Raw genomic sequence first — 14,151 nt, 5'->3', positions numbered from 1 at the left:
TGTGGCGGCTCATGCCTGTAATCCCAACACTTTGGGAGGCAGAGGTTGGCCATTCACCTGAGGTCAGGACTTCGAGACCAACCTGGCCAACATGGCAAAACCCCGTCTTTACTAAAAATACAAAAAAATTAGCCAGACTTGGTGGCGCATGCTTGTAATCCCAGCTACTCAGGAAACTGAGGCAGGAAAATCGCTTGAACCCAAGAGATGGAGGTTGCAGTGAGCCAAGATTGTGTCACTGCACTCCAGCCTGGGTGACAGAGTGAGACTCTGTCTCAAAAAATTTAAAAAAACAGCCGGGTGCGGTGGCTCATGCCTGTAATCCCAGCACTTTGGGAGGCCGAGGCAGGTGGATCACCTGAGGTCAGGAGTTCAAGACCAGCCTGGCCAACATGGTGAAACCCCGTCTCTACTAAAAATACAAAAATTAGCTGGGTGTGATGGCGCATGCCTGTAATCCGAGCTACTCAGGAGGCTGAGGAAGGAGAATCGCTTGAACCCAGGAGGTGGAGGTCGCAGTGAGCCAAGGTCCGCGCCACTGCACTCCAGCCTGCTCGACGGGAGCAAGACTCCATCTCAAAAAAAAATAAATTAAATAAATAAATAAGTTATAATAATAATACTGTGACCACCCTACCCTAACTAAAGTAGCCATCTTGTCCTGGCAATCCCCAGATACCATCTATCATTTATCATTATCTATTTCTCTCTCCTCCTCTCTCTCTCTTTTTCTTTCTTTTTTTTTTTTTTTTTTTTTTTTTTTTGAGATGGAGTCTCACTCTGTCGCCCAGGCTGGAGTGCAGTGGCACAGTCTCAGCTCACTGCAAGCTCCGCCTCCCCCAGGTTCACGCCATTCTCCTGCCTCAGCCTCCCGAGTAGCTGGGACTACAGGCGCCCGCCACCACGCTCGGCTAATTTTTTGTATTTTTAGTAGAGACGGGGTTTCACCATGTTAGCCAGGATGGTCTCGATCTCCTGACCTCGTGATCCGCCCGCCTCAGCCTCCCAAAGTGCTGGGATTACAGGTGTGAGCCACCGCGCCCAGTCTCCTCTCTCTCTCTCTCTCAATACATACTTAGAGAATGGTAGAACTATGTAATAAGACAGAGCAATGCCTTATTCTAGGTATTATTAACACAGAGGAGGAGACAAGCAATCTAGACTGGGGCAACCATGAAGGCTACAAGCAGGCGGTGACACTCAAGCTGAATCTTGGGCCAGGCATGGGAGGAGGCATTCCAGGCAAAGGGACTGGAATACATGAAGGCAAGAAGGCACAGGAAATTTAGGGAAGCAATAAGCAGCTTGGTGTTGCTGGAACACAGGATATTTGACGGTATCCAAGCAAACCAACTGTAAAAAGATGTTATTAAAACAATGAGGGAACATTGGACAGGTTATGTTAAGAAATTATTGATAATTTTGTTAAGTACAATAACAGCATGGTGGTTATATACACATATATTTTATATCCTCATCTTATAGAGAGATAAAGAGAAGTATTTATAGATGAACTGTATCTGGATGCTCCAGAGGAGGAAAATGTATATGGAGGGTGGGGAGGGAGGGGGACGTGGGTAAAACAAAATTTTAAAATGTTGATCACTGTTAAAGTGGATTGAATGAAAATATGGGAGTTGATTATATAGTCTCTCTGGTTTTGTGGTTTTTCAATTTTCATAATAAAACATTAAAATCTATATTGGTGAGTTGCTGCAAGTAAAGATAGCAGGGACCAGATCACAAAGGGCTTCCTGTGCCAGGTTGGGGGGCTGGGCTTGAGCCTGCAGGTAAGGACGCCATCAGAGTTTTAAGCCAAGGAGTGGTCTGATCAGATTTGCATTCTGAAAAGCTCGCTCTGGCTACTGTGTGGACAAAAAAATAAATAAATAATAAGGAGCCTGGTAAGGCCCAGCTCCAAAGTGACTGCCTGTGAGAAGCCTCTGTTTACCTCAGATGGAGTCCTGGCACCTTCCTCCTTTGGCCCACTATGCCTTTCTCCTAACCACTTACTTGGTAAGAGAATGTGTGTGTGTGTTTGTGTGTGTGTGTGTGTGTGTGTGTGTGTGTGTGTAATGAAATATTTCCCCTCAATATATGCTTCAGGTAAAAACTTTCAGATAATACAGATAATGGTTCCCTCATATCCCTATACTTCAGTGATAACCACTATTGGCAATTTAGTGTTTTTCTTTCCAGACTTTTTTTCATTTGCTCCATAAATATTATTGAGCACCTACTATGTGCCATGCAGCGTGCCAGGCACTAGGGTTACATCTGTGTACAAACAGACAACGATCTCTGTCTCAATGGAGCTGGCATTATGCATATATGACCATTTGACTTTTATGTAAATGAAATGAAACTGTTCTGCAACCTGATTTTTCTTTCACTTAATTATACGCCGTGGACAGCTTTCCATATCAATCTAGAAACAGCTACTTTATTCATCTTCCATTATAACATATGCCAGACATACCAAAAAGGAAGGCACACCTGATGCTTGAAATGATCCTATTATATGGATGCTTCAAAATTTGTTTAACCTGTCCCCTATTGCTCAACATTCAGAATTTTCTCAATTTTCCTTACAAATAAAAACACTGCACAACAACAACCACTAGAGCTAATAAATGAATTCAGCAAAGTAGCAGGGTACAAGGTTAACCAAAAAAAATCCATTGTGTTTCTATACATCAACAATGAATAATCCGAAAAGGAAATTTAAAAAACGGTTCTGGCCAGGCGCGGTGGCTCACGCCTATAATCCCAGCACTTTGGGAGGCTGAGGTGGGCAGATCACGAGGTCAGGAGATCGAGACCATCCTGGCTAACAAGGTGAAACCCCGTCTCTACTAAAAATACAAAAAATTAGCCAGGCGTGGTGGCACGCACCTGTAGTCCCAGCTACTCGGGAGGCTGACGCAGGAGAATCACTTGAACCCAGGAGGCAGAGGTTGCAGTGAGCCAAGATCACACCACTGCACTCCAGCCTGGGCAACAGAGTGAGACTCCATCTCAAAAAAAAAAAAAAGAAAGAAAAAGAAAACAGTTATATTTACAATAACATCCAAAAGAATAAAATATTTAGGAATAAACTTAGCCAAGGAGGCAAAAAACTTGTACACTGAAACTATAAAATGTTGTTGAGAGAAATTAAACAAAGCACAGATAAATGGAAAAACGTGTTCATAGATTGAAAGACTTCATGTTGTATGGTGTCAATACTACTCAAAACGATCTACAGGTTGAAAGCAATTCCTATGAAAATCCCAAAGACTTTTTTGCAGACATAGAAAAATCCATCCTGAAATTCATATGGAGTTTCCAGAGACCCCAAGTAGTAAAAACATCTCGAAAAAGAAGGACAAAGTTGGAGGACTCATGATTCCCTATTTCAAAACTTACCACAAAGCTATAGTAACCAAAACATTGTGTTACTGGCATAAGTACAGACATATAGGTACAATGGAACAGAATTGAAAGTACAGAAATACACCTATGGCCAATTGATTTTGGACAGAGATGCCAAGTCCATTCAATGGGGAAAAAGAAGTCTCTTTAACAAATTTTGCTGAGACAACTGGATTTCAACATGCAAAAGAATGAAGTTACCCGGGCTTGGTGGCATGCACCTGTAATCCCAGCTACTCGGGAGGCTGAGGCAGGAGAATCACTTGAATCTGGGAGGCGGAGGTTGCAGTGAGCCAAGATCGTGCCACTGCATTCCAGCCTGGGCGACAGAGCGAGACTCCATCTAGGAAAAATAAAAAAAAAGAATGAAGTTGAAACTCTATCTCATACTATACACAAAAATGAGTTCAAAATGGATCAAAGACCTAAATGTATGAGATAAACTATGAAATGCTTAGAAGAAAACATGGGGGTAGATCATGACCTTGGATTTGGTAATGGATTCTTAGCTATGACACCAACAGCACAAGCAACAAAAGGAGAAATAGGTAAATTAGCCTTCCAGGTGTGGTGGCTCACGCCTGTAATCCCAGCACTTTTGGTGGCTGAGGTAGGCAGATCACCAGAGGTCAGGAGTTCAAGACCAGCCTGTCCAAGCTGGTGAGACCCCCCATCTCTACTAAAAATACAAAAAATTAGCCAGGCGTGGTAGTGCACGCCTGTAATCCCAGCTACTCAGGAGGCTGAGTCAGGAGAATCACTTGAACCTGGGAAGCAGAGGTTGTAGTGAGCCGAGATTGTGTCACTGCACTCCAGCCTGGGCAACAGAATGAGGCTCTGTCTCAAAAGAAAAATATAGATAAATTAGACTTCATCAAAGTTAAAAACTTTTTTGCTGCAGCGAACATTATCGAGAAAGTGAAAGAGGCCAGCACTTCTGGAGTCCAAGGCAGGAGGATCTCTTGAGTCCAGGATTTCAAGATCAGCCTGGTCAACATAGCAAGACCCTGTCTCTACAAAAAAATTAAAAAATAAAATTAGCCAGGCTTGGTGGCCTGCGTCTGTAGTCCCAGCCGCTCAGGAGGCTGAGGCAGGAGGAACGCTTGAGCCCAGGAGGTCGAGGCTGTACTGAGCCATGATCACGCCACTGCACTCCAGAGCCCGGGCAACAGAGTAAGACACTGTCTCAAAAAAAAAAAAAAAAAAAAGGCAAAGAACTTGATTAGACATTTCTGCAAAGAAGATATTCAAATGGGCAAGAAGCACACGAAAAGATGCTCAACATCATTAGTCATTTGGGAACTGCAAATCAAAATCGCAATCACTTGTCAGTTTATACCTATTTGGATCACTATAATCAAAGACAGAAAATAACAAGTGTTGATGAGCATGTACAAAAACTGGAATCCTTGTACCTTGGTGTGGGAATGTAAAATGGTGCAGCCGCAGTGGGAAACAGTTTGGTGGCTACTCAACAAGTGAAACATGGAATTACCATATGACCCAGCAATTACACTCCTAGCTATATATCCAAAAGAATTGAAAACAGGTATTCAAAGAAATATTTGTATATGAATGTTTATCACAGCACTATTCACAATAGCCAAAAGGTAGTGAAATAAATGCCACAATATTCTAATAAATGCCCATCAATGGATGAATGGATAAACCAATTGTGACATGGGCATATAAGGGATATTATTCAGCCTTAAAAGGGAATGAAGCACTGATACTTGACACAATACTTAGAAACATTACGCTAAGTGAAAGAAACCAGACATAAAAGGTCACGTATTGTATGGTTCTATTTACATGAAACCCCCGGAATAAGCAAATTCATAAAGACAGCAGATTGGTTGTTACCAGGGCCTGGGCAGAGGGGAAAATTGGGAGTAACTGCTTAAAGGGTACAGGTTTTGTTTTGGAGTAATGAAAATGTTTTGGAACCAGATAGCAATGGTGATTACACAACATTGTGAATGTACCAAATGTCACTGAATTTTCACTTCAAAATGGTTAATTTACTTTTTTATGTTTTAATTGATATATAAAAGTTGTACATATTTTGGAGGTACGTGTGATATTTTGATAGCTGTATACAATGTGTAATGATCAAATTAGGGGAACTGGAACATCCATCACCTCAAACATTTATTTTTTCTCTGTATTGGGTAAAACTGTTAAATTTCCATTGTGCGCAATTCACCTCAAAAAAATTGCAGCGAAGATCCTCTTACCTATACCCTTGCACATTTGTTGCATTATTTCCTCATGATAAATTTGTAGAAGTGAAACTGCTGGATCAAAGGGCATGTAACCTAAAACAAACAAAAGAGATTATAGGTTTTGATTCCCAGAGGTGTTGTCCCAATTCACAGTCCCACTAAAGCTGTGTGAATGTGGCTGCCCCCACACCCTCCCTACAACTTCTTTTCCCACCTAAAAAGTAAAACTATCTCATTGTTTGAATTTTCATTTTTTTTGTTTTATTAGTGAGATTGGGCATGTTTCAGATGCTTAATAGTAAGTTATTATTTAGTTACCTGTCTCTTTGACAACACTCATTGACTTTTCCCATCTCTTCAGGTCCAGCACTCATGACAGGCATGTAGTAGGACCTCAGTAAATGCTGGGAGGAATTAAAGGGAATAGCAGTGACCATGAGCCCATCCTAATTTTCCCAGAGGCTCAGGCTAGTGCTAGACATACAGTGCAATCCTAACGTATCTTCCCCCAAAAGCTACCTAAATACCTTTTGAAATTCCCTGTGGGGGCTGGGTGTGGTGGCTCAGGCCTGTAATCCCAGTACTTTGGGAGGCCGAGGCGGGCGGATCATGAGGTCAAGAGTTCGAGACCAGCCTGGCCAACACAGTGAAACCCCATCTCTACTAAAAATACAAAACATTAGCCAGGCATGGTGGCAGGCACCTGTAATCCCAGCTACTCAGGAGGCTGAGGCAGGAGAGTGGTGTGAACCTGGGAGGCGGAGGCTACAGTGAGCCGAGATCACACCATTGCACTCCAGCTCGGGCGACAGTGCAAGACTCCATCTCAAAAACAAAACAACAACAACAAAAAATTCCCTGTTGGGAGTCACACTGTGGGCAGCATGGAGGGCATGGGTTTGCACAAGCTGAAAGTGAAGATAAAGGTAGAATAAGGGTGGGAATGAGGGGTGAGCTGGGGATTGGTACTAATGTGCACATATGTATGTGAAAGGAGACAGGCTGAAGAGAAACCACAAAATCACAGCTGTAGACTGGTGGGGACAGTGGATGGGTACTGCCATTTCTTAGGCCTACTAATGCCCTGTATTCAGCACTTTTCATCTGCCCTTAATCCCCTCCACACTGTGGCCATCCTTTCTGGGCCACTCCACTCCCAGGCTGGTAGGCACCGCTCACTACTCTGCAGCTTTCCTGCCAGACTGGAATGCTTCCTCCAAAGGCGCCCACCAGTTAGCCCCATAGCACGGTCCTGGGGTTACCAGAGACTTAAAAGGATAGGGTGTATAGTAGCTCATTCCTATAATCCCAGCACTTTGGGAGACCGACACGGGAGAATTGTTTGAGCCCAGGAATTCAAGACCAGCCTGGGCAACATAGCAAGACCCATCTCTACAAAAAAAAAATTAAAATATATTAGCCAGGTATGGTGGCACATGCTTGTAGTCCCAGCTACTCGAGAGGCTGAGGTGGGAGAATCCTTTTGCCCAGGAGGTCAGGCTGTGGTGAGCCGTGATCACAACACTGCACTCCAGCCTGGGCGATGGAGCGAGACCCTGTCTCAAAAAACAAAATGCCTGCTCTCATGGAGTGTTTACTCTAGTTGGAGAGACAGAGAATAAATACAATATGGCAAGCAGTGGTAAGTACTATGGAGAAAATCAAACAAGATAAAAGTTGAGTGGGACAGGGCTATTTTAGAAAGGGTGCCCAGGGAAGGCCCATTTGAGGAGGTGACAGTGAGCAAAAACCTGAACAGCTAGCCAGGTGGCCATCAGGGAAAGAGTGTCCCAGCCAGAGGGAACAGCAAATGCAAAGAGCCTGAGACAGGAACTGTCTTGTCATATCCAAGAAATGGTGAGGCCAATGTGCATGAAGCTGAGGGAATGAGGGTAGAGTAGGAGAAAATGAGTGTAGAGAAGCAGGAAGGATCAAGTGACATGGGCCACTGTAAGAACTTTGGCTTTTACCCTGTATGGGATGGAGAGCCATTCGAGGCTCCTGAGCAGAGGGGACAGGACCCCTCTGGCTGCTGTGTGAGGAATAGGGGCCAGAGGCTAGAGAGCTGGTCAGAGGGTGACTGCAGGGAAGAGATGAGAGTGACTCAGCCCAGGGTTGTGGCTATAGAAGTGGTGAGGAGTGGTTTGGATTTTGGCTGCATTTAAAAAAATTTTTTAGAGACAGGGTCTCGCTCTGTCACCCAGGCTGGAGTGCAGTGTTGTGATCATAGCTCACTGTAACCTTGAACTCTTGGGCTCAAGTGTTTCTTTTTCCTCAGCCCCTTGAGTAGCTAGGACTACAGGCAAGAGCCACTGTGCCTTGCTGATTCTTTTATTTTTATTTTTTACAACCCGGGTCTTGCTACATTGCCCAGGCTGGTCTCCAACTCCTGGCCTTGAGCAATCCTCCTGCCTCAGCCTCCCTAAGTATTAGGATTACAGAAGTAAGCCACTGCACCTGGCCTCTGGCTGTATTTCAGAAACAGCCGACAGAATTTGTTCATCAGTTGGATCTAGGGAGAGAGAGAAAGAAAAAGATGAAAGCAAGGTTTTGGGCCTGAGAAACTGGGTGAACAGAGGTGCCATTTACTGAGTTTGGGAAAATGTGCAGGGAAACAGGGGGCTCAAGAGCCCTTATGGGGCCATATTCAGGGCAGAGACCTGGGAGCCCTCCAGGAAGCCTAGGGCTGGCTCGCTTGCTCACTGGTGGAGATGGAAGATGGAGAGAGAAAGTCAAGGCAATGAGCATGCTTTACTGAGTAACTGTCTGTACCAGACTCCACGCTTATCTGCCCACATCATCTTTAGTGACCACAATATAAAGGCTGAATTTCTTAACGTGGCATCCAAGTCTGGCTCCTGCAACCTCATAGATCCCATCCTGTGCTGTTTCCCAGCTCCCATCAGCACCTTTGCCCATGCTGTCCCCAATACCTGGAGAATGCTGATCCTCAGCTCAGATGTCACCTATCTCCCACTTCATTTTAAGGTCTGCTTTTCTATCTCCCCCACTATATTGGGAACTCCTTGAGGGTTGAGGTGGTGCCTTGGTCCCTCTGAGGCCTCGGTGACTGAAGAAGGGCCATGTAGGGGCTCAGCTTACATTTGTGGCCTGAATGAAAAACTGTGTGGGAAGAAGAGCCAGCCCTGATCCCACCCCAGTGGGTCAGAGAGGCCTGACTTCCCACACAGTTATATGTGACAATGAGGAAAACAGGGCCAAAGAGGTGAAGTCAGGCTTGGAACTGGACTCAGATTGAAAAGCTGACTCCATCCCCCAAGCAGCAGGGAAGAGGGATCAGGGAAGAGTAATTACTTACATGTGTACAGCACTTGAGAGTTTATAGCCATAGACGTTATGTCATTCAACCCTGGCACAGCCTCATGACGTAGGCATTCTTATTTTCCCCTACCTGACACGTAAGGAAACTGAGGCCCAAAGAGCCAAAGTCACTTGCCCAAAGACAAAGCTAGGAAGTGGTAGCCTCAGGACTTGAACCAGGGACAGTTTGATGGTGGAGCCCTGTGCTCTCACTATCAGACTAGGCCACAGCTGGAGCTGAGAGGGAGAGTGGCCAGTTGGGTCTGGCAGCCCTTTTCCCCTCCCTACCTATTCCTGTTGGGTTTCAGCTGTTGGTAGCACGAATTGGCATTTACTAATCCCCTCGGACCATTCAAGGCCAGGACAAGGCAGCCTGAGATACAAACATAGCAGAGCATTATCCATATTCCAGACTCCAAAGGTCACACTTGGGAGAGGCTTGAAAAAAATGCAAGAGAAGTGCAAAGATAGGCCATGGGAACCTTCCTCCCCTGGAACCCCAGGAGCTCTTCAGAGGCAAGCCTCCCCACCTTGGACCTGCTGAGGGTCTACTCTGCCTCTAGAAGAAGGCAGTTTCCTCCCCGTATTCCTGCAGCCAAAATCTCCCTTGAGAAGTCTCTTGCGGGGGCCATGCCTTCTTTCCGGTTGGGCGCTGGGCCTGGAGAGTTCCTGGCTGGCTGCAGCTGGGCCCTCGCACCTGTCGGTCCAGCTCCCCTGCTTCACAAACACACGCCCCCGCCGAGCTCAGTGCTGCTTCCAGATGGCTGGTCACTTATGCCTTCACCCCACTTTGGGCCTTTTTCTTTCTCATTTGATTTCTTTTCCTTACCTTGTTTTCTTCCCAGGCATCTGCGTATTCTTTCCCTCCACGCCACCCCATCCCCCCACCCATTGTTATCTTTCTCTTCCTCTCATTGGTTCTCCTTTCTCTCTGCATTGAATACATTTCTTTCTGCTCAGGTCTGTCTTTTTTACCCTGACTCCAGTCCAACCAGGTATCAATAGAGCGCTAACTTTCTATTCTGTAACGCTGAGTGACAAGTCAGATAAGGTCATCTCTCCAGTCCTTACCAGCTCGGACATTCAGTTTTGAGGAAAGGTGAGAACCTGAAGGCAGGGAGATGGGGTACACAGTCAGAGAGTGGGGAAAGAAAGATTGAACCTGGAAGAACAGATTCAAATGGTAGCATCCTCACTTGCTGGCTGTCTGACCTCAGCAAGGCCATCTCACCTCTCCAAGCCTCCTCCCTTCATCTGTAAGATGTGATCAGTAGCTGGGCGCGGTGGCTCATGCCTGTCATCCCAGCACTTTGGGAGGCCGAGGTGGGCGGATCACTTGAGGTCAGGAGTTCAAGACCAGTCAGGCTAACATGGTGAAACTCCATCTCTACTAAAAATATAAAAAATTAGCCGGGTATTGGTGGTGCGCACCTGTGATCCCAGCTACTCGGGAGGCGGAGCAGGAGAATTGCTTGAACCCAGGAGGCGGAGTTGCAGTGAGCCGAGATGGTGCCACTGCACTCCAGCCTGGGCGACAGAGCGAGACTCTGTCTCCACAAAAAAAAAAAAAAAAAAAAAAGTCATCAGGGAAGACCTGATAGTAACAGTGACAACATTCCAAGGAGTGAGGAAGCTGTGTGAGAATTGACTTTACTCATGGATGGGAAAGGTCTTTATGAACTACAAGGGGCAGGTCCCTACTGGCAATGGGCGTTACTTAGGGGACAGTGAGGCCCAGTGGTCACCAGCAGAGGCTCTGGGGCCAGTCAGCCTGGTTAAGATTCTCGGCCCAAAACATACAAAGTGTATAACCTTGTCAAGCTGCCTAATATCTCTGTGCCTCAATTTCCCTATCAGCAAAATACGGAAGAGGTAATAATAGTACTGACCTAACACCTAAGGTTATTGGGGGATTTAATGAGAGAATAAGCACAGAGCACTAGGAACAGAGAGGATCTGTCTCCTAATAAGTGTTCAGTGACCATTCCCACTGATGTTATTATTTAGAGCTAGTAGGAAGAATTCTCCCTTGAGGTGGTATATTCAGGGGTGCCGGGCCACTGCAGGAACCTAAGCAAGCCATGTGGTGACCCAGACTCATCTCTTTACAAGGCCTCAAAGTCTGTGCAGGTTGTGCCCTGAAATTCAGCTTGTGTTCCTCTTGCAAAGCCGTGGGCCCAGGGGTGAGGGTTGTGCAAAGCCCAGAGGAAGCAGCACCTGGTTCTAATTGCTCCTCCCAGAGGAGGTGCCTTTTTGTAATTAGTACAAGCAGACTGTATGTGCTAGCTGAGGCACTCTCCCTGCATCTAGGCAGGAAAGTTTTACCTTGTATAACCAGGCCTGTGGTCCTCTCTGCTTGCCTGGCGGCAGTCTGCACCTTGACCCCCTGAGATACCCCAGATCCTCAATCCATCTTCAGCACTGATCTTGTCCTCAAGCATGCCAGGCCTTCCTGGTTTCACTTTAGCTTCTAGAGCACAGGCCTTTGCGGGGAACACAGGGGGACAAGTCTCTGTGGCTGTGGGGATCTGTGGAAATCTTTCCAGTCCCCCAGTTTGTGCATGTGAAATGACTCCTAACCATGTTCACTCAGCCATGTTTGCCCAGGCCAGCCTCCCAGCCCCAAAGTTAAGGGCCAAGAGAGGCAATAGGGGCCAGTGGTCCAAGCTGGGAGACTTCTCCATGCCAGTGGAGACTCTTACTAAGGGCAAAGTGGGATCCATGGATGAATGGAAGTGTGAGGCCTCAGCTGAGATGGGATTGGGAGACTAGGAGGGCTGGGCCCCAAGAAAGGGGAGTCCAGGGAAATCCCCGTAGCGTGGAGATGAGACTCAGGGCAAAGGGTTGCAAAATCTCTCAGGTCTTAGGCCAAGGGAGCAGTTTCAGCCTGCTGTTGCAGGGAGCAGGGCCAGACTGAAGTGGCCTCACCTTCTTAAGGACAAAGTAAGCTGGGAGACACTGTGCTGACCTGACAATGGCATGTGGCCAAAAAAGGAGAGCAAACAAGACCCCAAAGGCCTGTGTTCTAGAAGCTAACGTGAAACCAGGGAAGGCCTGGCATGCTTGAGGCCTAGCCAAATGTATTTAGCAACGTGAGATGAGGCCCCTATCACTCCCTGGCATGGGGAAATTTATGGACTGAGATCCTCTCACACTGCCCTTTAGAGATTTGAAGCACGTGTCCATGATTGTGCTGAGCTGGAGGGGCTGGAGAGGGGAGAGGGATGGCTGCAGTGAAAAGCCAGTGTCCCCCAGGCCCCTTGAGGAGAAAGCCCCTCTCTGTGCCATGGAGAGAAGCAGGGGAAAGTTCCCCACAGTTTGGCCGAAAGTCATCCTGCCGATTGCTCTTTTTGACACAACCTCACTTTCTTTCCAGTCCTATATTCCTGGCTGTGTGTGAGCTATTTCCACTTGGATGTTCTGCCAACAGCTTAAACTAAACATGCTTAAAGCAGAGTTTCTCTTCCCCCACAAAGCCTCACACCTTCCCAAGGCCTCCAGCCTCACTGCTGACACCCGAACAGCCCAGGGCCAGGCCTGCTTGCTGCTTCTCTTTCTCCTCTACACCAGCACCTCTCTCCCTCCCTGCCTTTGAACCCTGGGCTTCTCCCTGGGTAAAGTTTTCAGAGTCATCTTTGCTGCTGCCCTCTCCCACCTGCACCTCATCCCTGGAGATTGCTGCCCCAGCCCCTAACTGGACTCCTCCCTCAAGAGTTCTCCCTAGATCTGGGCCACGCATCCATTCTGGCCATACGCGTTGACTATTTACTGCAATGAGTGTGGTGAACCATCCATTCTAGAAGAAAGAAAAGCATAGACACCAATAACAGGGGGACACCGATAACAAGGTAGCCTAGCGGGGGGTGTTTGGCCTCAGGAGTGAGCCAGACCCGGCTGTGAATCCCAGCTCTGCCACTTAACCCTTTGTGTCATCTTAGGCTTGTTTCCCCTCTCTGTGCCTCGATGCCCTTCTTCCTAAAATGGGGATGATAGCGTTGACTGGCTAGGGTTCTTATGAAGTTGAATGCCAGAAGGGGGCACAGAGAAGGGACATACACTGGAATGACATCTCTGAAGGCTGGGGTGGACAGAGCTGTGAAGATGGCCCCTAAGGATTCAAGAGGCCGGGTGGCCTGAGCTGTTTGTATATTTGCGGTTTTCCCATTATGCATAAATAACAGGAAATCAAGTAGGGAATCAATTCAACTAGACCCAATTCTTGGCCCTTTCCAAACTTCCCCCACCCCATGTGTAAACAGGAAACCAGGGCTAGAATCTACGAAGCTGATTGGGGTGCCCAAGGATGCCCTGTGATCGCTCTGCTCTCTTCTCAATTTTCTATTTCTCCAGGCCCATTCCCCTAGTAACTGATCTTGTTCCCCTTCTTCTTCAATTCATCTTCTCTTCTCTTCTTTTCTTCTTCTTCCCTTTTTTTTTAAACACAGAAGCAAAAGTGAGTGCCTGTCCAAGCCTGTTGGCCTGGGTCAGAGGAATGCGGCCACTCCCTCCACGCAGAGCGGCCAGGCCCAGGCGCTCACTCAGGCTGGCAGGGGCAGGCGCAGAGCCGCCCAGGCGCTCACTCAGGCTGGCAGGGGCAGGCGCAGAGCCGGGAAGGATCCAGCACCTTGCTCCGAGGGGCTGGAAAGCACTACAGACGTTAGCTCATCACTCCCTGGCAGAGGCTGACCCATCTGCTATTCTCACTAGCATCTTCCAGATGGGGAAATGGAGGCACAGGCATATTCACAGTGGTTGCAAACTCACAGAATCCTAAGGGGGCTTCTGGGCAGAGTCTCCACATGGAGCAAGAGGAAAAGGGCCACCAGGACTTCCCCTAAAACCGTGGTCCTGGCTGAAGTATCTAAAGGGGACACTGGGAAATAAGGGGGGTCGGGGGGGCAGTTAGGACCCACCATCTCCCAGGAACCCACACGTGACAGGGGCCCCAAAGAGTTGCAGCTTCACTCGGTGGCCCATCAGGAAAGACTAGCCACTCTTACTGACAATTTGCAGCACACAATACCTCTGGAGTAAGAGGCAACTGAGATGAAGTTTGCACCGCCAGACACCAGAGGGTTAACTAGGATGCAGTTGGGTTGATTATTATGTTTTCCTCCTAGTGCTTTTCTGTTACCTGCAAATTCTGTGCAGTGAACAATTACATTTATGGTCAGACAAAGTGTTAATTATT

The 14,151-nt window shown here is 47.2% G+C and overlaps 1 annotated feature.

Annotated features, from left to right (window-relative positions):
• Window positions 13,505-14,005: an enhancer, noted in NCBI's record as "H3K4me1 hESC enhancer chrX:71532082-71532582 (GRCh37/hg19 assembly coordinates)". NCBI's record gives its function as "activates a minimal SCP1, AML or CMV promoter by ChIP-STARR-seq in primed H9 embryonic stem cells {active_cell/tissue: H9 hESC(primed)}" and the evidence as "EXISTENCE:reporter gene assay evidence [ECO:0000049][PMID:30033119]".

The sequence above is a fragment of the Homo sapiens genome, chromosome X (genome assembly GCF_000001405.40).
Source record: "Homo sapiens chromosome X, GRCh38.p14 Primary Assembly".
Taxonomy (NCBI): Eukaryota; Metazoa; Chordata; class Mammalia; order Primates; family Hominidae; genus Homo; species Homo sapiens.
The sequence above is the reverse complement of the archived record's forward strand: the minus strand, read 5'-3'. Positions and strand labels throughout refer to the sequence as shown.